General features: G+C 38.4%; 1 protein-coding gene across 16 annotated transcripts in view, besides 5 other annotated features; it reads right to left on the reverse strand.

Moving 5' to 3' along the window:
* SIK3 (SIK family kinase 3) overlaps window positions 1-24,249 on the reverse strand; it is a 255,027-nt gene that overhangs the window by 113,096 nt on the left and 117,682 nt on the right. For 15 of the 16 annotated variants that reach the window (XM_017017424.2, XM_047426672.1, XM_005271482.5 and 12 more), the window contains exon 2: window positions 451-567. In XM_017017424.2, coding sequence (XP_016872913.1) covers window positions 451-567 — 117 coding nt within the window. Of the gene's footprint in view, window positions 1-450; window positions 568-24,249 lie in introns of those variants that run through there. The other variant, XM_011542725.3, reaches the window with a different exon arrangement.
* Window positions 7,903-8,103: a silencer, noted in NCBI's record as "peak1484 fragment used in MPRA reporter construct". NCBI's record gives its function as "represses an SCP1 promoter by STARR-seq MPRAs in K562 erythroleukemia cells {active_cell/tissue: K562}" and the evidence as "EXISTENCE:reporter gene assay evidence [ECO:0000049][PMID:32103011]".
* Window positions 23,732-23,932: a silencer, noted in NCBI's record as "peak1485 fragment used in MPRA reporter construct". NCBI's record gives its function as "represses an SCP1 promoter by STARR-seq MPRAs in K562 erythroleukemia cells {active_cell/tissue: K562}" and the evidence as "EXISTENCE:reporter gene assay evidence [ECO:0000049][PMID:32103011]".
* Window positions 23,732-23,951: a biological region, named in NCBI's record as "MPRA-validated peak1485 silencer".
* Window positions 23,892-23,951: an enhancer, noted in NCBI's record as "active region_5559". NCBI's record gives its function as "activates an Ori minimal core promoter by ATAC-STARR-seq in GM12878 lymphoblastoid cells {active_cell/tissue: GM12878}" and the evidence as "EXISTENCE:reporter gene assay evidence [ECO:0000049][PMID:35858748]".
* Window positions 24,102-24,151: an enhancer, noted in NCBI's record as "active region_5560". NCBI's record gives its function as "activates an Ori minimal core promoter by ATAC-STARR-seq in GM12878 lymphoblastoid cells {active_cell/tissue: GM12878}" and the evidence as "EXISTENCE:reporter gene assay evidence [ECO:0000049][PMID:35858748]".

A 24,249-nucleotide genomic window follows, 5' to 3' on the forward strand; every position in this document is an offset into this window, starting at 1 on the left:
TTGCCATAACAATTTATAACATGATCACAGAAACTAGTATTCAAATAATGCTATTAAAAAAATGTTATATTCATCTCTAACTTTTCACCTCTCTAAATTCTCTTCTTTTTGAGTTTCCCATCCTGTGTTAGAACTCTGAACTAAATAAAATAAATTCTCATCATCTTCTGAATTAACATTTTGTGTAGTTGTTGCTAAGAATGGCATCAAATTTTAAAGAACAAATTAAAAAGACCTACCTGGGTAAGGAAAACGTACTAGTAAATGGCCAGGGGAAACTTGAGGATACTAAGTGCTGAGCGCGTAAACAGAAGGGTAGGAAAGATAGCAGGATTAACATAGAAACAAAAAAAGTCACAGATGTTCACCCACCCACATTTCTTCAAAGGGAGCCATACATACAATATTCTGGGTTCTTTGCAGCTATCTGCTATACACTAATGATCCTACCTGGTAGAGCCTGATGATATGGGGGTGGCAAAGCATCTTCATAATTTGAACTTCCCGGAAAATCTTCTTCAAGTTTTCTTCATCCAGCTGGGTCTTATCTATGATCTTGATAGCAACCTGACAACAGAGGGAAAAAAATTACTCTGATGCATTATTAAAAGCAGTTTACTAAGAAAAATTAGGTTCACTTTAAAACATTACGTTCCATAAAATATAAGCTGCCAGTATTCTGTTTACAGAATGTCAATGAGGAAAATTAATTTACTCTTTTTAAAAAGATAGGAAATGGATTCCTAGCAAGTTGGTCTCAAAGGAACAGACTCCAAAAGCTAATGGGTCTTCTGCCATTTCTTCAATTGCTTATACGGTAAAATCCTATGAAAAAATACTTTATTACTCCATAGATGTCGTTACGGTCTGGGTCAAATCATGTTTCAGTGCAGAGTGGTATACAGGGTCTCTCATTAAGACAAGAAGCTTTAAATAAAATAAAAAATTTTTAAAAAGGCAAGAAGCTTGTATCATAAATACATGGTGTCTTACTAAGGTTCTATGAGAACTTTCACAGGGGCTTTACACATCTCACCAGATGCTTGTAGAACTCAATAATAATAATAATAGTAGCAGTGATGGTGGTGGCAGCAGCAGTAGCAGCATCTACCATATACGAAATGTTTACTATGGGCCAGGCATAACTCTTAGTGGTTTGGAAGTACTAACTCATTTAAACCTCCTAACACCCACCTTATCATTAACCTTGCTTTAGAAATACAGAAACTGAGGCACACAGAGATTAAGTAATTAACCCAAGATTAAGTAATTTACACCTAGTATGTGGCAGGTGCAGGATTGAAGCCTAGGTAGCTTGGCTTTAGAATCAAATTCTTAATAAGAATGTTATAAGAATCTGAAGATCTTTCTTTAGCATACATGCACTGCATCATAAAACATATCTTTCCAATGTGCCCCCTTTTAATAAGATACTCATCAGCAAATACATTTTAATGAAGAATGAACGATGAAGGACTTTTAAAAATTTACTAAATCTAAACTTCCTCAGTGAAATACTTAAAATATTTGTGTTGCTCCAAAATATGTCTATATCTCAGTTTCAATTATGTAATCAGTATGGAAGCAATACTGGTTAGATGAAGAACCTAGACTAGTCAAACTCTAGTCCTCTCCAAATCTTAACATTCTAAGATTCTATGCACCAGAGAGGTAAAGGGAACATATACAGTACTTACTGAGGAAAAAATCAGGAAAACAAAATTACAAAAGTAAAAATGTTTAGCTCAGAGAAATAAAGACTGTTTGGAGCCATACGTGGCAGATTATTCAGATGTATAAATGGCTGGCATAAAAGTAACTTTATCTGAAGCTGTTTCAGGTGTTAAAATGAGGACCCACGGGAGAAAGGCACAGGGAGATAAATTTCAGCTGTACTCAAAGAGCATTCAAGCCATGCCTAACGAGGGAGTGTGATGAAAGGAGCTGGGTGTGGCTGGAGCTACAAGGATTAATCAGACACAGCCTAAACTTCAAGGAGATCACAGTCTAAAAAGGAAAAAAGATGTGTGGAACTGAAAACAATGCAGCATTGGAAGTACAAGCAATGGAGCTATGTACCAGGTATAACAACAGACAGAGGATGGTGAATGACCTTCACCTACAGGAGAAGAGGTAGAAAAAGTCTGGGAAAGACTTGACAAAGAAAGCAGAATTTCACTACAGAGAGAACTGGGATAGGCAGAGAAGAAGGTAGAGAATTTAATGAGGATCTCACCAGCTGCTTGGTTTCCTGTAAGAAGTCTTGGATAATATAACCCTTGACCACCTGCATTTCTACTTCTCCTCATTACTGCACCAGATCACATACAAGACCTTAACTCCACAACTGGTCTAGCATCTGCTCCTGCTTCTCTCAGGACAGCTCCCAAAACAACAACAAAAAAAATCATGGTACACAATGTCTCTTCCTAGAACAAATAGCTTGGTCTTAATAGTCATTATTAATAAAATCTTACATGTGAATGGCACCTTGTAATGTACAGAATGCTTTCATAAATATAACAAGCTTAGAAACTTGCAGATATATCCCCATAGCAGAGCTGCCAAACAGCTGTAATCCCAGCACTTTCGGAGGCCAAGGAGGGCAGACTGATTGAGTCCAGGAGTTCAAGACCAGCATGGGCAATATGGTGAAACCCCATCTCTACTAAAAAACTTTTTAAAAATTAGCCGAGCATGGTAGCATGTGTCTGTAGTCCCAGCTACTCAGGAGGCTGAGGTGGAAGGACAGTTTGATCCCGGGAGCTGAAGTTGCAGTGAGCTATGATCGTGCCAGCAACAGAATGAGACCCTGTCTCAAAAGAAAAAAAAAGAACTTCCAAACAAGTGTGTTGGAAATGGGTTACAAGCAATAATGGATCACCTCCAATCTCAACTTTCTGTGCATGCCATGATGTGCAAAAGGTGGGAAGAACTGCTAGGATTTATTTACCTTAATAACAGAGGGCATCAACTGTCTAAGGCCTGTGCCTGAAATCTTCCACCTCTGCCCACCCCCTACTAATTGATGGCATGTACAATGTAACTGGGGAAAAGCGGGTGACCTTCAGGTTAACTTATGAAATTTGTGCATTCTTTCACCTCCAAGAGATCACAGGGAGTCATATAGTGGGGCCTCCCTGATTCACAAGGCACTCACTCTAAATTTCATTTGCATTCTGAAGCAATAGGATCTTCATAATGGTAAACAGAGATTGTGTGGCTCCCAGTCAGCCACACAATCACGTGGGTAGATAACAATAGAGTGAATTAAATGCATTTCTGACTTACCATATTTTCAACTTATAATGGGTTTATTGGGACGTAACCCATCATAAGTCAAGAAATATCTGTACTAGCAATAATGCCTTTTGTTGGCTATAATTAACAATAATTTATTACATATTTCAAAATGGCTGAAGGAGATTTGAAATGTCACCAACAGAAAGACATGATAAATGTTTGGGGTAATGGATATCCTAATTACCCTGATTTGATCATTACATGTTGTATCCATGCAGCAAAATATCAAATGTACCCCATAAATATGTACTATAATAAATAAATACATACATACATGAATTTTACAAACAAATGTACTTCATCTTTTCAGGAAAAATTGCATTGAATATAATCTGTTCTTAGAAGGCACGTACAAAGAAGTTTTAATAGATTAAAACATCAAACTCCTGTCTACTCTTCAGTGAGAGTTCAGATTCCAGAAGACATTGAAAAGTGAAGCTTTGGGCCAGGCACGGTGGTTCACGCCTGTAATTCCAGCACTTTGGGAGTTAAAGGCAGGCGGATGGCTTGAGGCGAGGAGTTCAAGACCAGCCTGGGCAACAAAGTGAGACCTCATCTCTACAAAAAATAAAAAAATTAGCCAGGTGTGGTAGTGTGTGCCTGTAGTCCCAGTTACTCAGGAAGCTGAGACAGAAGGATTGCATGAGCCTAGCAAGGGTGAAGTGAGCCGTGATCACGCCACTGCATTGCAATCTGTGCAACAGAATGAGACACTTTCTCCAAAACAAAAAAACAAAACAAAACAAAAAAACCAAAGTGAAGCTTTATTTAGCAGTTGAATATAGTACTGAAAGCAAGGACTCTGAAGACAAGCTACTTAGATTCAAAATCTTGGAACTATCCCTTAATATATAACCTAGAACAGGTTACTTAATTTTCCAATGGCTCCCTATCTGTAAAATGTGGGCAACAATGGAACCTACTTTAAAGTGATTTTGGGGATTAACAAAGCTAATACATGCAACCTGATTAATATAATGCCTGGCACAGTAAACAGGCAATATATGTTAATTACAGGTAGTGCTGTTGTTATTTTATTTTCTTCTGGAATCAAGCCTTCAACTTTAGGCATTCCTTGGCAAGGATTAGATTTGCTTCACTAAGCAACATAATCCTGGATCTGAAACACATCAATTCCTTATTCAAGGGACAAATTGAGGGACCAAGAAGCAAAATAGCTAACAATTTGTGGGCAGCATTCAGAACCAACTGGCTGCCGCCAGCTGATGTGGGAAGAACATGGAAAGAACAGAGCTGGAAAAAAAATAAACGCATTCCATTCAGGAAAGTCACAGTGAGCCATAGGATGGAACCCACAGCAAGACCCGACCCTGAGGGCTGTGGCAGAGAGACACTGGTCTACTTCTTCACAGCAGGCCAGGCTCCCCTTGCCAACCCTACCTACTAGCTAACACCTGAGAGGAGAGAACTTACTGTTGCTTGGCAATGGCATAACTGCCTGATAAGACCACTTAACAGGGAAAGGAACTCAGCTCCTACCTTAGCTGCAAACTGGAAAGTGGGAGTTTTCTAAAAAGCAGAAAAATAAAGTTGGAACAGAGAAACTGCCAAGTCAGACAGCAGGTGGCTGGCACACAGGTATGATTGTTTTGAGAATATCTAAACAGATAAATGAGTATGAGTTTCACAGCTACAGATTACTGAAGACTATATAATAAAGGTTTTGGTGTAAAGTACACACCAGTTGCTTGAAAAACTGAATGTGTCCACAACAAAGGTAAATCAGTAGGTAAAGAAAAGATAAACTCTCAAAGAATGTTATTATATTGGGGTTGAAAATCTATAAATCTCCTAATTGTACTTACATATGAAAATTATAACAAAGCAGAAAACTTCCAACATGTTACCAAGAGACCATATATTTCCTAAGTTTGCCTGTTCTACACAGAATTCTTTTATCTTCCAAAGAGCATGATTTTGTAAATTGACATTCTAATATTAATTAAACATGACACTGTATCAAGTATGCTACTAAAGAGATAACAGATTGTGAGAGTCCTTAATTTCCCTACTCAAGACATTCCCATTCAACAAATTCTTCTGTTTCAATTGGCATGTGGTAGGAAAAAAATTAAATTTAGATCATGCCAAATTTAAAGTCATAGTTCTTTATTATTCATTCTATGAGAGGAAAAATTACTATTTCTCCCTTTTAATTCTCACTTCTAAAAAACACAGTTCTTTTTAACTCAACTCACTTTTGTAAGCACAATAATGTTCATAGTGAATGAAGCTGAAAAAAATAGTGGTTTCTTCACAACAGGCAATAAATTCACTTGCATATTCTGACACCATATTTGTAAGCAAGATACGGCAACAGAGTAAAAGACAATGAACTAAGGGACAGTTCAGCATTAAGATCAAAACAAACCACCCTTCCCCATCAGAAATAAATGCCCTATAGCAGATAGTACGGATTCAGGGATATGCCAGGACAAATGGACAGTTCAAGAAAGAACTACGTAGGAGGGAAATGCAAAGATCACAAGGGCTCAAATTCTTCCAAGACGAGAAAGAGGATCTCCTTACACTGGTATGCAGATGAACATACAGTAATTTCAAAGAATATAGTGAGCAGACTGCATGCTTTTTAGAAGGAAAGAGAAAACATTACAGTTTGAAGAAAAGCTTATTTTTTTAAAAAATTTGTTTTAAGGAAAGAGCTCTATTTCTTTTAGAAATGTCTTTAGAATTTAGGCAGATATCAAACATTTTGTCATTGTAAGCTTTTTTCAATGGGGTTATGTTTTTATACTAACTTCTGTAGCAAAATTTTTATTCTCTATTTTTATGACAAAGCTTATCTACTCTAGAACATTCTCGGCTCAGCTCTACAACTATTTTATGATCTAGATCTGTACAGTGTAATACAGTAGGCACCAGCCACGTGTAACTATCCAGACTGATGCGCTATAAATGTAAAATATATACCAGATTTCAAAGATAGTAATATAAAAAAGAATTAAACTATCTCCCTGATACATTTTTATATTGATTACATGTGGAAATTATAATATTTTAGATATATTAGGCTAAACAAAAGATATTAAAACTAATTTCACCACTTTTTACTTTTTTAATATGATTATTTAAAAATTGTAAATAATATATGTGCCCTCTTTCTCTTGGACGGCACTGATCCACATAATGCCAACAGGCTACATAATTAATCTACCAGTTAAAGGACGTATTCCTTGAAAATGACTTCTGAAATCATTGACTTGATATTGAGAATTGCCAACTGTCTATCTCACAGAAACCTGGCCCAAGTTACAAGGCTCTCAATGCTCAAACATTGCCTTGGGAGAAAATCTCAAATAAGGTCTCAAAAGTTATATTCTAGGAGCTCAATTTAATTCAATTTTTAAAATGTCTATTGAGCAACTGACTGGTTTACTGTACTGCCCTTGTGTGCAGCCATTCCCAGGAGGGGTTCTCTCAGAGAATTAAGTCTTACAGCCTTAAGACAGCAGTTCCCAAACTGTTTGGTCTCAGGACTCCTTCTCTTAAAAGTTAGGAGAAACTTCAAAGAAGTTTTGATTATGTGAGTAATATCTTTCAATATTTGCTTAGAAATCAAATTAAAAATCAGAAATTAAGACAAAAATTTAAAAGACACGTGTATACAACCACACATCTCCTTGGTCATCAGAGCAATTGCAGCATCATACATAGCATAGTCTCTGGAAATCTCTATTTTATAATTGTGAGAGACTATGAATGAAAAGTGAAAATAATGTTGTGGCATTTCTTTAAAAATGGTTTTGACCTAGGGGACCCACTGAAACAGTATTGGAGTCTATGACATCCCTGAATCAAACTCTGAGAACAACTGCCCTTAAAGCATCACTGTATGTAATGAATTGACTTCTCTTCAATGCATCTAGAATAGTACCATGTTTGGGAGAACTGAGAAAATAGTCACTCAATTTTCTTTTCTATAGGGCATAATGCTTTCACAGGACCCAGCTAAGAATGGCTGGCTAGAAAGGAACTTAAGTACCTTTGGAATCAGCCTTAATGAAAAAACATTTTTATTTAAAATTTACTAGAAAATAGAATTGTCAACAGAAAACAAATTTAAAAGAACCCCAAACCAACACAAGCTAGGCTCTTGAATGCAACCTGTTACACATTAAATGGCCATGATTAATAACGTGCCACATGACCAAGGTCAGGATGTAGGCTGGCCACATTCTTGGGAAGATCCTAACGTCTGCACTGTTACCCAGGCTGGAGTGCAGTGACACGACCATAGCTCGCTGCAGCCTCAACCTTCTGGGCTGAAGCCATTCTCTCACCTCAGCCTTCTGAGTAGCTGGGACTACAGGGACACACCACCACACCTGGATAATATATATTTTTTAATTTTCTGTAGCAACAGGGTCTCACTATGTTGCCCAGGCTGGTCTCAATGGATCCTCCCACCTCAGTCTCCTAAAGTGCTGGGGTTACACGCAACAGCCACCACACCTGGCTTCCAATTTTTTAATTGAAGTCTATATTTCAGCTTGAAACAATTAGTCAAATCAAGTACTAAGGGGCAAAACAGGGATGTATATTTGGAAAGAACAGGTTATTCTATTCATTATACACACCAATCACAACTGTTTCTGGGAAAATATGCAGCTGTCAAGCCTAAGGAATGGCTGGGATGCAAGGATGCTAGCCAACTCGAGACACAAGGACTCTACATGGCCAGCAAAGATAAGGGTCAGGCAGCTTTCAATAAACTCCACAGAAAGTGGTTAACAACTATAATTTAAAATGTATAGCACTCCAGGCACGGTGGCTCATGCCTCTAATCCCAGCACTTTGGGAGGCCGAGGTAGGCAGATCACTTGAGGTCAGGAGCTCGAGACCAGCCTGGCCAACATGGTGAAACCCCACCTCTACTAAAAATACAAAAATTAGCCAGGTGTGGTGGTGGGCACCTGTAATCCCAGCTACTTGGGAGGCTGAGGCAGGGAGAATCGCTTGAACCCAGGAGGCGGAGGTTGCAGTGAGCCGAGATGGCGCCGCTGCACTCCAGCCAGGGCAACAAGAGCGAAACTCCATCTCAAAAATAATAATAATAATAATAATAAAATACAATAAAATGTATAGTGCTTTTTAGGTGAGTGGTTGAACTTTTATTTTTCTGCCCTCTAGGCTGTACTGAATGGTGACTGTAAAATAGTTCATGCATTTCCAATGTCTGGATAGAGAACAGAAAGTTTACTGAAAGTGGGAAAATAAGTTGGAAAATGGTATACTGTGCAAAATTAGTAAATGGTATCTGAAGCAAAGGAAATTTTCTGTGATTACTTGAAATTCAAGATATAGAAGAGAAATTTTTAAAGACAAAAAGAAAATGATTTCTCAGTTCCAGTAATTCCCATCTGGTTGACATTTACCCTCTCAGAAAACAGAAGCCTACGAGTGTCTCCAATATTATGAGCAACTCTCTCAGGCATACTGACATGATTGTTATTGTTGCAAAGTGCCAACAATGTTTTATAGTTAAATCAACTCTTGTCCTACAGGTTTATCACTTAAATGTATTCAACAATTTTTTTTTTTTAAAAAAAAGGAGTGGAGGAAAAGAGAGTTGACAATAAAAATAAAGGTCAATCAGGATTATTTACAAAATATAGATATTCAATTTTCTATTTTCAGGTGTTTATTTCAGATTAAACAAATTGCAGAAGTTTAAGAGGGAGATACTTAGAATGGGATTGATGGCTTAATTTTAAGGTTAAGGAGCTGTTGAAAAGGATGCCTCAAAGCCCTAAAAAAAAGAGAGGGAAGAGGCCAGGTGCAGGGCTCACACCTGTAATCCTAGCACTTTGGGAGGCTGAGGCGGGCAGATCACTTGAAGTCAGGAGTTCAAGACCAGCCTCTCTAACATGGTGAAAACCCGTCTCTGCTAAAATATATATATATATATATATATATATATATATATATATATATATATATAAATTAGCCAAACATGGTGGTGTATGCCTGTAGTCCCAGCTACTTGGGAGACTAAGGCAGGAGAATCGCCTGAACCTGGGAGGTGGAGGTTGCAGTGAGCCGAGATGACACCACTACATGCCAGCCTGGGTGACAGAGCAAGACTCCGTCTCAAAAAAAAAAAGAGGGAAGAGCAGGAAAGAAGGAGGACAGAAAGAGAATGTAGGACAAACAGGAAACACTCTGAATAGAGAGAAAGGATTGGGCAGAAAAGTATTAGGGATCTGGGGAAGAAAAGGGCAAAAGCTAAATGGTTTAACAAGGCAGTTCTAATAGTTCAAAATGGCAACCAAAGAACACTGTCTAAGAAAGTGGCATAATGACAAAATAGGCCGGCCTGGTGGCTCATGCTGTAATCCCAGGAGTTCGAGACCGGCCTGGGCAACACAGCAAGACCCCCAACTCTACAAAAAATTTTTTAAAAATTATCCAGCCATGATGGCATATGCCTGTAGTCCTAGTACTCAGGAGACTGAGGTGGGAAGATCATTTGAGTCCAAGAGCTCAAGGCTATAGTGGGCTGTGATCACGCCACTGCACTCCAGCCTGGGCGAGAGGGAGACCCCATTTCAAAAAATAAAACAATAAAAATAATAAGAATAACAATACAGGTTGAATATCCCTTATCCAAAACGTTATGTTTCATATACACCTTATACACATAGCTTGAAGGTAATTTTACACAATATTTTAAATAATCTTGTGCATTAAAAACAAGTTTGTATTAAGTGCTTATGCATAGAATTTTCCACATGGTGTCATGTTGGCACTCAAAGAGTTTAAGATTTGGGGGCATTTTTCGTTTTTGAATTAGGGGTGTTCAACCTACAACTTATAGAAATATTTTGAAATTTTTAAAAAAGTAGTTTATTTCCAAAGAAAAATGTCAAAGTTATGGTGGGAAATTAAACTATAAAAAATGAAATTTTGCACTTTGGGAGGCCGAGGTGGGCGGACTGCCTGGGGTCAGGAGTTTGAGATCAGTCTGGCCAACATGGTGAAACCCCGTCTCTACTAAAAATACAAAAAAAAAATTAGCCAAGCATGGTGGCGTGGGCCTGTAGCCCCAGCTACTTGGGAGGCTGAGGCAGGGGAATTGCTTGAACCAGGAAGGTGGAGGTTGCAGTGAGTCAAGATCACACCACTGCACTCCAGCCTGGTGACAGAGCAAGACTCTGTTTCAAAAAAAAAAAGAAAAAGAAAAAGAAAAAGAAAAGAAAAAAAGAAACTTTAGTCCCAGGACAGAAAGACGGGAAATAACTTGGCAATAGGGCCTAAAATACAAGGTTGTCAGAAGACAAAAAGCTGAATAAATTTTAAGATGAATTTTCTTAATGAGTACATGCTACTCTTTCCTGGAATGCCAACTCACAGGTAAAAATAACACAGACTCACAGAAGGATTGTACTCTTCCCAAGAACAGCATTTGTCAAGAAGCCTGTGTACTGTTAAGCACATTTAGATGTAGAACCTAGAACGCTCCAAGACTTAAGGCTCCAGCTGAAAAGAGAGCTGAACTCAACTGCCGTAACATAATTTTCTTAAACTTCCCCTATGGAGATTTATTATATTGGGTATCTTGCTAACCTTACAATGGTAGTGCTGTTCCTGTTGAACAAAATCAGCAACAGTTCATATTTTAAATTGTTTTAAATTATATCAATATGCCCTCAAGGACTAATAACACAGTCTGCGTGAAGTAGCAGGAGCTGAGTGAACCAAGGAAACAGAAAACAGTTGAAAAACTATCCTAAACCCTCATCTCTTGACATCTCCCAATTATTTGACAATGAAGACTAAGGAAAAACAGGAAGCAATATCCATTTTCAGACTGCATTTCATCCTCCTATTTCTGAAAGTCTCACTTGTAATGCATCCTCGGATGTCAGTAGTGTGCTCATTGTTTGTCAAAAGGTGCATCGTTGTGAAATCATGCATTTCTTGTCTGGATGTTTATGATACCAGACTATCTTCCCTGAGCAGCCTGGAGTAAGAAGCCAGCCTCCCTGTGCCCATCAGGAACATGGCACCAACTACCTTCCAAGGTGTTTTCCGAAGAACAGGTGCACACTACCAGCGCTGACAGATAATGCCCCTCTGGGATTCCTTCAAAATGGAATGTTTTGTGTGATGGCTTGTGCATTTATTCCAGTTTCAATGAGTTCCTTATATTTAGTAATCATCACATTTTCAAGTCAAACAAATGTTATTTCCATAATGAATGTTTGCATTTCATGTGATGAATAGTGTAATTTAAGTAACTTAAATCAATCCCTGGAAGTCTAATAGTAAACATTAATTAATTCTTAAATTTCTGGGTTTTTTTGTTTTTGTTTTTTGAGATGGAATCTCGCTCTGTCTCCCAGACTGGAGTACAGTGGCGCCATCTCGGCTCACTGCAACCTCCACCTCCTGGGTTCGGGCAATTCTCCTGCCTCAGCCTCCCAAGTAGCTGGGACTACAGGCGCGCACCACCATGCCCGGCTAATTTTTTGTATTTTTAGTAGAGATGGGGTTTCACCATGCTGGCCAGGCTGGTCTCAAACTCCTAACCTTGTGATCCACACACCTTGGCCTCCCAAAGGGCTGGGATGACAGGTGTGAGCCACCGTGCCTGGCCAAATTTCTGATATTTATTTTAAAGGTGGTAAGCGGACAACTGATAAACAACATTGCCATAGAAAAAACTGAGAATGATTCCACTGAAATATAAAATTATTATATAGGTTAAACATAGCCACAACAGATGTCAAAAGACAGCTACATGAAGTATATGCTTAATATAACAGAGTTAACATTTAACAAGATTCTTTGTGTTTTCCTGTAGCAGGATTACAGACATCCTAAATACTGACCTTCTCTGATGGTCCTAAATTTGCATTAGAGTACAAGTGTAGAATTTCAAAAAGATGCTAAGGTAGAACCAAGGATTTTATGTAAAGGAAATTGTCGTAACTGTGTATCAATTCATTAAAGTATTGAGTATAGTTAATAACATTGTGGGTTTTTAAAAATCATTAAAAGCATCCACAATTTAAGTAAAACCCAACTATTATACTATTAGCCCCTCTTTTATGTCTTATGACAATACTACTTTTAAGCCAATTAACATGACCCCTAATTCATTGCCAATGAGATCCAAAAGAATCTCCAGATATCAGAAATAGTTTCATTTAAGATAGACAGACGGCCGACGCGGTGGCTCATGCCTGTAATCCCAGCATTTTGGGAGGCCGAGGCGGGTGGATCACAAGGTCAGGAGATTGAGACCATCCTGGCTAACACGGTGAAACCTCGTCTCTACTGAAAATACAAAAAATTAGCTGGGCGTAGTGGCAGGCGCCTGTAGTCCCAGCTACTCGGGAGGCTGAGGCAGAAGAATGGCGTGAACCCAGGAGGCGGAGCTTGCAGTGAGCCGAGATGGCACCACCGCACTCCAGCCTGGGAGACAGAGCAAGACTCCGTCTCAAAAAAAAAAAAAAAAAAAAAAAGACATATTTGCATAAATATTGTTCTAGGAAAATAAGAGACCGTAAGTAACACATCCCCACCAAAAAATCATAAGGAATGAGATTTATGAGATGAGAAAATGAAAATGTAGAGAGCTAGAAGGAAGTAAAATGTTAATTGATAATAATGTCATAATAAAACTAATTATCCCTCCATATTTAAAAGTCTTTGTGCAACTTTCCTGAGGTCTCTGGGTCACAGGTTTCTTGATAGATCAAGTTGGCATTTTTTGAAACTAAGAGATCAAGTTGGCATTTTTTGAAACTAAGTAAAAAAAAATCCCTTCAATGAATCAAATGTACTTTTCTGGGTAGAAAACAGCACAGAATAAGGAGCTCAGAGTGTAGGAAGGATATAAAAATGATCATACACAGCAGTAGAAACTTTTTCCTTCTGAACAAAATCACACATAAACCCTAACACATAAGACAGAAAAAAGAGTATCCATCCTGGTTACAGACAAAACTTTTTAGAAGCCTAGGGCTCTGCAGAACAGTTTGGAAATCACTGTGACAGCAAAAAGACGAATGCAGTGGGTGCTGAGATTGAGAGTTCAATTTCCAGCTGTATCTCTAAGATATGTTTGTGACCTTGGGAAAATCACTTTACCCCTCTAATCCTCAATGTTTTCATCTATTACATGACTTGAAAGCAGAGGTATCAGCTGGGCACAGTGGCTCACACCTGCAATCCCAGCACTTTGGGAGGCCAAGGTGAGATGATCGCTTAAGCCCAGGAGCTTCAGACCAGCCTAGGCAACATAGTGGAATCCTGTCTCTACAAAAAAAATTTCAAATTGGTTGGGCACATTAGCATGTGCCTGTGGTCCCAGCATTTTGGGAGGCTGGGGCACAAGAACTGCTTGAGCTCCGGAGGTCAAGGCTGCAGTGAGTTGTGATCAAGCCACTACACTCCTAGCCTGGGTGACAGAGTGAGACCCTGACTATAAAAAAGAAAGAAAGAGAGTTATCAAGATAAGGTTCTCACTGTGCCAATTCCTAATTCGAACTCTGGGAGACTTGGGTTTTGACTTTTTTAAGTTTTTAAATTGACATTTAAGTCCTAAGGGTTCATTCACATAAATCAGAATCACTACTAGTCATACAACTCTCAATCTTGGTTAGTTAAAGTAATCAAGCCATTTAGTTTTAGTTATTATTTCTTTTATTTTCTCTTATCTGTTTATTATTTACTTATTTTTGTAAAGATGAGGTCTCACTATAGTCCAGGCTGCTCTCAAACTCCCGGGCTCAAGCAATCCTCCTGCCTCAGCCTCCCAAAGTGCTAGGATAACAGGCATGAGCCACCACGCCCGGCTGTATTTGTTATTTCTTTTAGAGACAGAGTCTTGCTCCGTTGACCACGCTGGAGTGCAATGATGTGATAATAGCTCACTGCAGCCTCAAACTCCTGGCCTCAAGAGATCCTCCACCTCAGCCTCCTGAGTAGTCAGGACTACAGGCATGTACTACCATGCCCAGCTAAATTAATTTTTTTTAAGAGAAGGGTCTTGCTCTTTTGCCCAAGCTGATCTGGAACTCCTGGCCTCAAGCAATCCTCCCACCTCAGGCTCCCAAAGCACTGGGGTTACAGGCATGAGTCACCACACCCAGCCCTAAGTCATCTAGTTTTACAGTGCTATATAATGTAGGACCATATGATAATAAGCAGAAAACTGCATTTACCACATTTGAGATAACCTTGGTGAATAAGTGTTTCTTTCCTCAATTAAATACATTAAAACTAAAGCATAACACCACTGTTTGCCCAGAAAAGCCTTGGCATTTGCTAATATTTTCACTATTGGTAAAGTCAATGTTTCCCACTGTTAAAACTAAGAACACTAAATAATAATATTGACATTAATTTCCATCCCACTTACAGAACAAACAATGGCAGACTAAATTAAATGGAATGTGAAACGGGCAACAAGTAGGTCAAATTAATTAAACTGTAAATTACAACCACACCAGAAAGACATGAACACAGAAACCAAGAATCCGAGTCTAAGAAATGTTGCATAATCCAATGTCAGCCAAATTTGACGATGTTTCCATTATCAAATTTCTCACTTAGAAATGAGAAACTCAAAGAGTCAATTTTAGTTTGTTTTATATTTTTTGTTTTAGACTAGTTAATTCCAATATATTAAACATAAGCATAGTAAGAATAGGTAAAATATACTGAGCACCTAATATGTCCCAAGGCACTAAATTTTTTTGTTACTTTTTGTAATGAAAATTTTCAAATATTAACAAAAGTAGACAATAAAATAATTCAAAGCATCAATCAGCTTCAAGAATTATTACTTTATAGTCAATTGTTTTATCTATATCTCTACCAAGTTTCTCCAAAATCCCAATCACCGTATCATTTCATCTGTAACTACTTCAATATACCTCAAACAGGAGTCTTTCTCTTTTTTTAAACATAACTATGACATCTTTACTGCACTTGAAAAAAATGAGGAATAATGGCCAGGCGTGGTGGCTCACGCCTGTAATCCCAGCACTTTGGGAGGCCGAGGCGGGTGGATCACGAGGTCAGGAGTTCAAGACCAGCTTGGCCAAGATGGTGAAATCCCGTCTCTACTAAAAATACGAAAAATTACCTGGGCGTGGTGGCACGCGCCTGTAATCCCAGCTACTCCAGAGGCTGAGCAGAGAACTGCTTAAACCTGGAGGGGCGGAGGCTGCAGAGAGCTGAGATCGCCTCACTGCACTCCAGCCTGGGCAACAGAGCGAGACTCGGTCTCAAAAAAAAAAAAAAAAGAAAAGAATAATTACAGGCATTAACTCTTAACCCATACAACAACCCTATGGAGTAGGTACTATTATTCTCATTTTACAGATGTTTCTGAGACACCTACCAATGAAGTTATGTGCCCTGGATATACAGTACTGAATGGCAGAGGCAGGAATCGAAGCCAGACAGTCGAGCTCAAGAACCTGAGCCCTCCACTTCATTATGTTTTGCTCCTTCTCAAAAGTAGATTTTATGGTAATGAGTTGTTAAATATAAACAGAGATAATTGACTAATAAAAGAATGGATGACTGACAGCATCAGACTTTAGCAAAATTTTGAAACAAGGAAAACATATCCCCGTATTTCACCTATCCTCCAACTTCTTTCTTCATCCCCAGCTGGTATGCTGCATTGAACAGCTCTACCTACCTCCATTTAACCTTGTACCCAATATTTTTAAAAGTAAAGTTTATTCTTTTTACTACAACCAGCTCTATTGGGTTAAACTAACATTTGGGATGTACTCTGTGACTAATTTTCATCAAGACAGACTTACTGGATGCAGTCCTACTCAAAATTAAATATTCTCTTCAGAAGTCATATTATGAAATATATACACCTACTATGTACCCTCAAAAAAAATTAAAAATAAAAATAAAAGTCATATTCTGTGTGACAAACAGACCCCATGATGACTGGCCCCCAATGGTTCTCTCTCACACACACATACACACACACACACACATAATGACAGACCTATTCATGCCTTTATGTAATATCCTCCCTTTCTTCCAAGTGGAGCTAGAGAGCTTAATGAAGTAAATGGCCATGTTACGGAAGCCCTCAGGAAAAGGAACTGTGGGTGGCATCAAAGAACTGCGGGCAGTCTCTCTAGGATCAGTCTCTTTAGAAGCCCCAGCCAACAGCCAACAAAAAGCTGGGATCCTCACTCATAAAGCAATTCTACCAACTACCTGAACGATCTCGTAAGTAACTACTTTCCCAGTTAAGCCTCCAGGTGACAATGCAGTCCATTTAATACTGTACAGCCTTCTGAGACCCTGAGCAGAGGGCTCAGCTAAGCCATGCCAGGACTCAAGACCCATGGAAACTGTAAGACAGTAAATGTGTGCTGCTTTAAGCTGCTAAATTTGTGGCAGGTTGCTACATAGTAATAGAAAACTAACAGCTCATGGTTCTTTATAAGGTAGACAACTATCATCTCCAAGAAATTCTAGGCCAAGGAAATCTCTTCCATAATTTATAGTACAGAACTGTAGCAGTTTCAAGCAAGAGTTCAAGCATGTGAACAAAACTAAAGCTCTTTCTTGAGAAAAGCTTTGCTTTAGCCTTACTTGTAGAGATTCCAGCAAACTCTGTGTAAACATAGGTAAGCTCTCCACTGGAAAAGTAAATATGTCAGGCTCCTTAGTTTACCAAACAAAGTTACTTTTTTCAATTGCACAAAATGCTATCAAAAGCATGTGCATCTAATGACTTCCTTCCAGACAGTACATTATGAAAGGGGGGGAAAGAAAGAACTTTACAGTGGAAAAACTTGACAAACACTACCTGAGCCAGGTGATCAAGGTTAGCATCAACAGTAATAAGTCATGTTGATAGTATGTGCCCTTGGTATGATGTGATGAAAATGGCGCTTTACCTTGGTTATCTTACCACTCAAAACCTATAACCCCAATCTAATCATGACAAAGACATCAGACAAATTCCAACTGAGGAGCATTCTACAATACCTGACCAGTACTACTCAAAACCATTAAGGTCATCAAAAACAAGAAAAGACTGAGAAACTGTCACAGCTAAGAGAAACCTAAGGAGACATGGTGACTAAATGGCGTGTGGTATCCTGGACAAGATCCTGACACAGAAAAAGGACATTTTGGTAAAAACTAACGGAATTTGAGTAAAGTATGAACTTTAATAAGGATGTACTAATATTGGTCCATTAATTATGACAAATGTATCATATTACTGTAAGATAATAAGAATAGAGGAAACTGACCGTGGGGTATTTGGGACCTCTGTACTGTATCTGCAATTTTTCTACACATCTAAAGCTATTCTAAAATAGTTAACTGCAAACATCATAATGGAATGCTCTGCTCTTCTAGCACTACATTCAAATTCAGTCTTAAATTGTTTTGTTAGGAAACTTCTATTTAATGTTGGAGATACCAGACTAAACAACAGCTTTCTGCTTTCCGTCAGTTCAAGTAACCAGATCGCTTAACAAACAACATTTCTTCACTAGACTCACTAGACCTATATCCAGAATCAAAATGGTTTCCATATAAAGAACACTTTGGAACCCTTTTTTTCCCCCTTTTGAAACAGGGTCTTTGTCACCCAGGCTGGAGTACAGTGGCACGATCACAGTTCACTACAGCCTCAACCTCCTGGCCTCAAGTGATCCTCCCCAGCGACTGGGCCTACAGGCATGTGCCACCATAGGGGTTTCTGTTTGTTTGTTTGTTTGTTTTTGTAGAGACAGTGTCTTGTTATATTGCCCAGGCTGGACTCAAACTCCTGGCTGTAAGTGATCTGCCTTGGACTCCCAAAGTGCTGGGATTACAGGTATAAGCCACCGTACCTGGCCTTGAAATCTTTTTTAAAAATGTATTATTGAAGAATTTTTCTTTTAGACATAGTTTTGTGAACCTGATATCAAGTCACAGGGTATTAAGTTTTGACTTACAGTGTGGTGCTGGGAAATCGGTTTTCTCAATTGTATTTTTTCCTTTTATTTAATAATGTTAGTTAAGGAATCCATGTTTTCTTGTTGGCCTGTACTGCCAGAAAGCAAAAGCTAAGTGAACTGTGGTAGCTCTACTTAGCCTAAGTTTTCTGGTAAAATAGTATCCATCTCTCCTCTTCCCTAGACTATTTGGCCCTAATTCTTTTAAATTTGTTTTAATCTGTTGATCTTCTGTTAAAGATACCTGAAACTCTTTCTGAAAGTAGATTTTTTTAAAAATTGACAAATATTTAGCCCGAACGAGGACATGAAATTCATTAACAAGACAAATAATCACATTAGTATTTCTCCTCAGCAAGAATTTCCCTGCTTTCTTTGTATTCTAGTTATTTAAAAAAAAAAGCAGCTTTATTGAGATATTCACATACCATGCAATTCACCAATTTAAAGTGTAAAATTCAACGTGTTTTATAAATTCACAGGATAGTGCAACCATCACAATCTAACTGAACATTTTTGTTCCGACTGAAAAAAACCTCATACCTGTTTAGCTGTCACTCCTCATTCCCCCACTCCTATCCCTCCACCAGCCCTAGGCAACCACTAATCCACTTTCTTTCTATAAATTTGCCTATACTAAATATTTCATCTCAATGAGATCATACAATATCTGGTCCTTTTGTGACTTGTTTCTTTTACTTGGCATAATGTTTTCAAGGGGCATTCACCTTGCAGCATGTATCAGTACTTCATTACTTTTTATTGCCAAATAATATTCCATTGTATGGATATATTAATTTTAATTATCCATTCTTTAGTTGATGGACATTTTGGTTGTTCTGCTTTTTGGCTATTATGAATAATGCTGCCATGAACATTCATAAAATTTTTATGTGAATGTGTTTTCACTTATCTTGGGTTTATACCTACCAGTGGAATTGCTGGGTTATATGGTAATTCCACTTTTAACATTTTTTGGAACATTAAACATTTTGAAGAAATGACAAAGCTGCTGCATCATTAAATTCTCTCTCACCAGCAATGCCAGAAAGTTCTACTTTCCACATATCCTAACCAACACTTGTTATTGTCCATCTTTTTTTATTACAGCCATCTTAGTGGATACGTGGTATCTCATTGAGGATTTCATTTGCATTTTCCTAATGACTAATGATGCTGAGAATCTTTCCATGTGTTTGTGGACTAACTGCATACACTTTGAGGGGCATTACACATTGAAATCTTTCCTCTATTTTTAAATTATTAGACTTTTTACTATTGAGTTATAAAAGTTTTTATATATTCTAGATACAAGTCCCTTATCAGATGTACGATTTGCAAACATTTTCTTCCATTCTATGGGTTGTCATCAATTTTCTGATGGTATTGTCTGCAGAACAAAAGTTTTTAATTTTGATGTAGTCCATTTATCTATTTTTCCCTTTGTCCCTTCTGCTTTTGGTAGTCTATTTAAGAAACCACTGCCTAACTCCAAATCAGGAAGGTTTGCTCGTATGTTTTCTTCTCTTCATAAATGTGAGAGCTAAAACTATAAAACTCTATGAAAACTCTTAGAGAGTTTTGTGGTCCACTTGAAGTTAATTTTTGCATATGGTATAAAGCAAAGGTCCAACTTCATTCTTTTGAACATGGATATACACTTATTCCAGCACTGTTTGGTGAAAAGACTCTTCTTTCTCCAATGAATTATCTTTGCAGACTTAACAAAAGTCAAATGACCATAAGTGTAAGGTTTTATTTCTGAATTCTTGAATCTATCCCATTTATCTGTCTGCTAGGACCACATTATCTTGTTTCTTCTAGTTCTTGACATTCCAGATATTGATAGTTATCTTCCTCTGCTAAGGCTGGTGTTTAGTGAAGTTGTGTGAGCCCCCCTACAGGGCCTAGGACCCAGAACGCAGTTGTGGTGTTTTAGTAACTGTTAATGAATCAAATGAAAAGATTTCTGATTGTGGTTTAGGAGAATTTTTTTCTATTTTAAAAAATGTCAGTAGACAAATATTAAAAATTGTTTTCACAATAAACTATCAAATTAGCAAAATAACAACAGGTAAATATAACTAACACAGAACTAAAATAAGTTACAGGGCAGTGACAATGATAATGGAATAATAGTTTGGACTAGTCATCCAGCTGATTTATTAATTAATGAGAATATATGTTTATATTCCAACTATTTCTTTTTAAAAAGGGCTGAGGTGTTTACAAAAATCAAACATATAAAATAGGACAATTAAAAATAAAAAATAAATAGGTATTTCATCATTATTTTCCCAAAGCCATAGAGCCTTGGGAAAAGGCCAAATATTTCCGGATCAGCAGACATGCAAAGGCTTCATTAGAATCAAGTCCACTAGCCTACAAGCAGCACACACAAGGGAAAACTTCTCTCTTCTTCCTCCCTCCCTCCCTCCCTCCCTCCCTCCCTCCCTTCCTTCCTTTTCATACAGACAGAGTCTCGTTATGTTGCCTGGAATGGTTTTGAACTCCTGGGCTCAAGGCATCCTCCCTCCTCAGTCCCACAAAGTGCTGGGATTACAACCATGAGCCATCATGCCCAGCCAGAAATTTCTTAGGTGAGTTGGGCTCTTCAAAGAAGAATAGATACAGGAAGTTCTGGCCCTCGCCTCCCAAAAATCTCTGCTTTTTAGTTAAAAAAAGACGAAGAAATCTAGGGTTTCTTTGTCCTCTGGTTCTTCCAAAGTAGGTCAGGTCTGTGTGTAATTATTGGGTTTCACATTCCTTCGGAAAAGGAAGAGATGTCAATTCATGGAGGTATTTAACAAACAGCAGATGCAGGCTAGGGCTAGGGGCAAAAGAGTGCTTCTGCTCCTGAACAAAAAATAAAAATAAACAAACTAAGAAACAGTCTTTGGTTTTTAACAATAATAAGCTAATTTTAAGACAGGTAGAATAAAAGGCCTAATTTCTCATTCTAAGGCTACAACCATTGAACTTAAGCTTGTGGATGAATTCTCCTAGTTTCATCTTCTTCCTAGGCACGCTCTCTATTTAGCAAGGTTGACATAAAGAAATTCAGGAAAAAAATGAAAAATATATTTACTGTAAAACTTTATGTGCAAGAGCATGTACCAAAAGATTAAGAATTACTATCTGCAAGCCGGGTGCGGTGGCTCACGCCTGTAATCCCAGCACTTTGGGAGGCCGAGGCGGGTGGATCACGAGGTCAGGAGATCGAGACCGTCCTGGCTAACACGGTGAAACCCCATCTCTACTAAAATTACAAAAACTTAGCTGGGCATGGTGGCATGCACCTGTAGTCCCAGCTACTCAGGAGGCTGAGGCAGGAGAATTGCTTGAACCGGGGAGGCGGAGGTTGTGGTGAGCCGAAATCGCACCACTGCACTCCAGCCTTGGTGACAGAGACTCCGTCTCAAAAAAAAAAAATTACTATCCGCATTACCAAAAGTCTTCTTCAGAAAAAAGAATCACCTCAGGGTTCCTTTCAACAACAAGCTTATAAAAAATTTTATTGTAAAATATGTCATATTCAAACCATAGTTCCTACGTACTCTTCCATTCCCCAGTACCACCTCATCCCACTCCAAGAAAACCACCATCCTGAAGTTTGTTCATTTGCTTTTCTTTATAATCTTACCATATATGTATCCCCAAACAACATATTGTTTAGATTTGCCTGCATCTAAACTTTATGCAAATAGAATCATACTCGTTTTTTTTTTGAGGCAGGGTCTCACAATGATGTACAGGCTGGAGTGGAGTGATATGAGCATAACTCACTGTAGCTGTAAACTCCTGGGCTCAAGAGATCCTTCCACCTCAGCCTTCTGAGTAACTAGAAATACGGGTACACACCACCATGCCCAGATAATATTTTTTTTAATTTGTTGTAGGGAAAGGGTCTTGCTATGTTGCCCAAGCTGGTCTTGAACTCCTGGGCTCAAGGGATCCTCCTGCCTCAGCCTCCCAAAGTGCTGGGATTACAGGCCTGTACCACTGCACCCACCCCGTATTTATTATTTCTAACTGCCTTTTTTGATCCCCACTATTTTGGAATATTCCTCTACGAAGATGCATGTAGTGGCACTTAAATTCCTTTTATGCTCAGAGGTCACCCTTTTATAAATATACCAACTGTATTTATGCTTTACAGTTGCTAGACATTTGAGTTGTTTGGATTTTTAGCTACTATGAACAATAATTAAAATATTCTTACATATGTCTCTTAAGCCATGCGCACAAGAATTTCACTAGGGGACATACCTAGGCATCACTAGGTAAAGCCAAATTGTTTTCAAAAATGAAGGTACCTAACAGTATGACTGCTCCTACTGCTCATATCATCTCTAACAACTGTAACTATATTTTTAATTTTTCCCTGTTTGGTGGGGGAAAGGAGACGAGCAGGAGATAGACAGTTCCTTGCCATTTTAATTTGCATTTTCTTGATTACTAAAAGGGTTGAGGATCTTTCATATGTTCATGAACCATTTGTTTCTACTCCTGTAAAATTAACTTTTTCATGACTTTCCTATTTCCATTTTTCCTAATTTTTTTTTTTATTTGAGGAGTTCTTTTATATTCTGGCTAACAAACCTTTGTTAGTACATTTCCCAAGTTGTGGCTCACCTTCTCACTCTATGATGTTTCTTTTTTAAAGTAAACTTTTAATGGATCTATAACATATATGCAAAAATGTGGCCAAATTATAAGTGTAACTCACATAAACAAAAGCAATTTGGGTCCTCAATAATTTTAAAGAGTAGGCTGGGTGCAGTGGCTCATGCCTATAATCCCAGCACTGTGGGAGGCCAAGGTGGGCAGATCACTTGAGGTCAGGAGTTCAAGACCAGACTGACCAACATGGCAAGACCTCATCTCTACTAAAAATACAAAAACTAGCCAGGCGTGGTAATGGACACCTGTAGTCCCAGTTACTTGGGAGGCTGAAGCAGGAGAATCGTTTGAACCTGGGAGGTGGAGTTTGCAGTGAGCCAAGATCATGCCAGTGCACTCTAGCCTGGCCAACAGAGCAAGACTCCATCTCCAACAAACAAAGAAAAAAAAGAGAGAGAGAGAGCATAAGGCATAAGGGATCCTAAGATTTAAAAAGTTTGGGATCCACTAGATCAGACAGATGTTATCGTCTCATTCTCTATGTCACTAAACCTCTCATATGTTCCATCTCTTCTTTCTCTGTACTAAATTCTAGAAATTTTCTTCAGATCCATTTTCCAGTTCATTAATTTACTCTACTCTGTATCCTCTTTCCACTGTATTTTTCGCTGCAAATGCTCCTCAATTTACAAGGGGCTTATGTCCTTATAAACCCATCATAAGTTGAAATATTACTAAGTCAAAAATGCATTTAATACACCTAGCCTACCAAACATCATAGCCTGGTCCACCTTAAATATGCTCAGAACACTGATGTTAGCCTACGACTGAGCAAAATCATCTTACAGGGGTGTCCAAGGGAGGGAACACAGGCTTGGGTTCTTAGTTCCTGTTTCTGGTTGGTTCGGTAAAGCCCCTTCCTCAACCCTCTTTTCCGCTTATCACTAGAGAGAGAAACTAAAAACAATGGCTTCACACTGCTAAAAGCCTAAAACAAAACAAAACAAAACAAGGTGGTTTAGACAGCTTGAATTCTAACACAAGGCCTATTTTACAATAAAGTGCTGAATATTTCATGAATACTGTACTGAAGTATAATTTCTACTGAATGAATATCACTTTCACACCATCGTAAAGTTGAAAAATCATAATCAGGTCAGCTGAGGTGGCTCATGCCTATAATGCCAGCACTTCGGGAGGCCGAAGTGGGCAGATCACTTGAGCTCAGGAGCTCAAGACCAGCCTGGGCAACATGGTAAAACCCTGTCTCTACTAAAAATAAAAAACTTGCTGAGTATAGTGGTGCCTGCCTGTATTCCTAGCTACTAGG

This window comes from Homo sapiens, chromosome 11, assembly GCF_000001405.40.
Source record: "Homo sapiens chromosome 11, GRCh38.p14 Primary Assembly".
Classification (NCBI taxonomy): domain Eukaryota; kingdom Metazoa; phylum Chordata; class Mammalia; order Primates; family Hominidae; genus Homo; species Homo sapiens.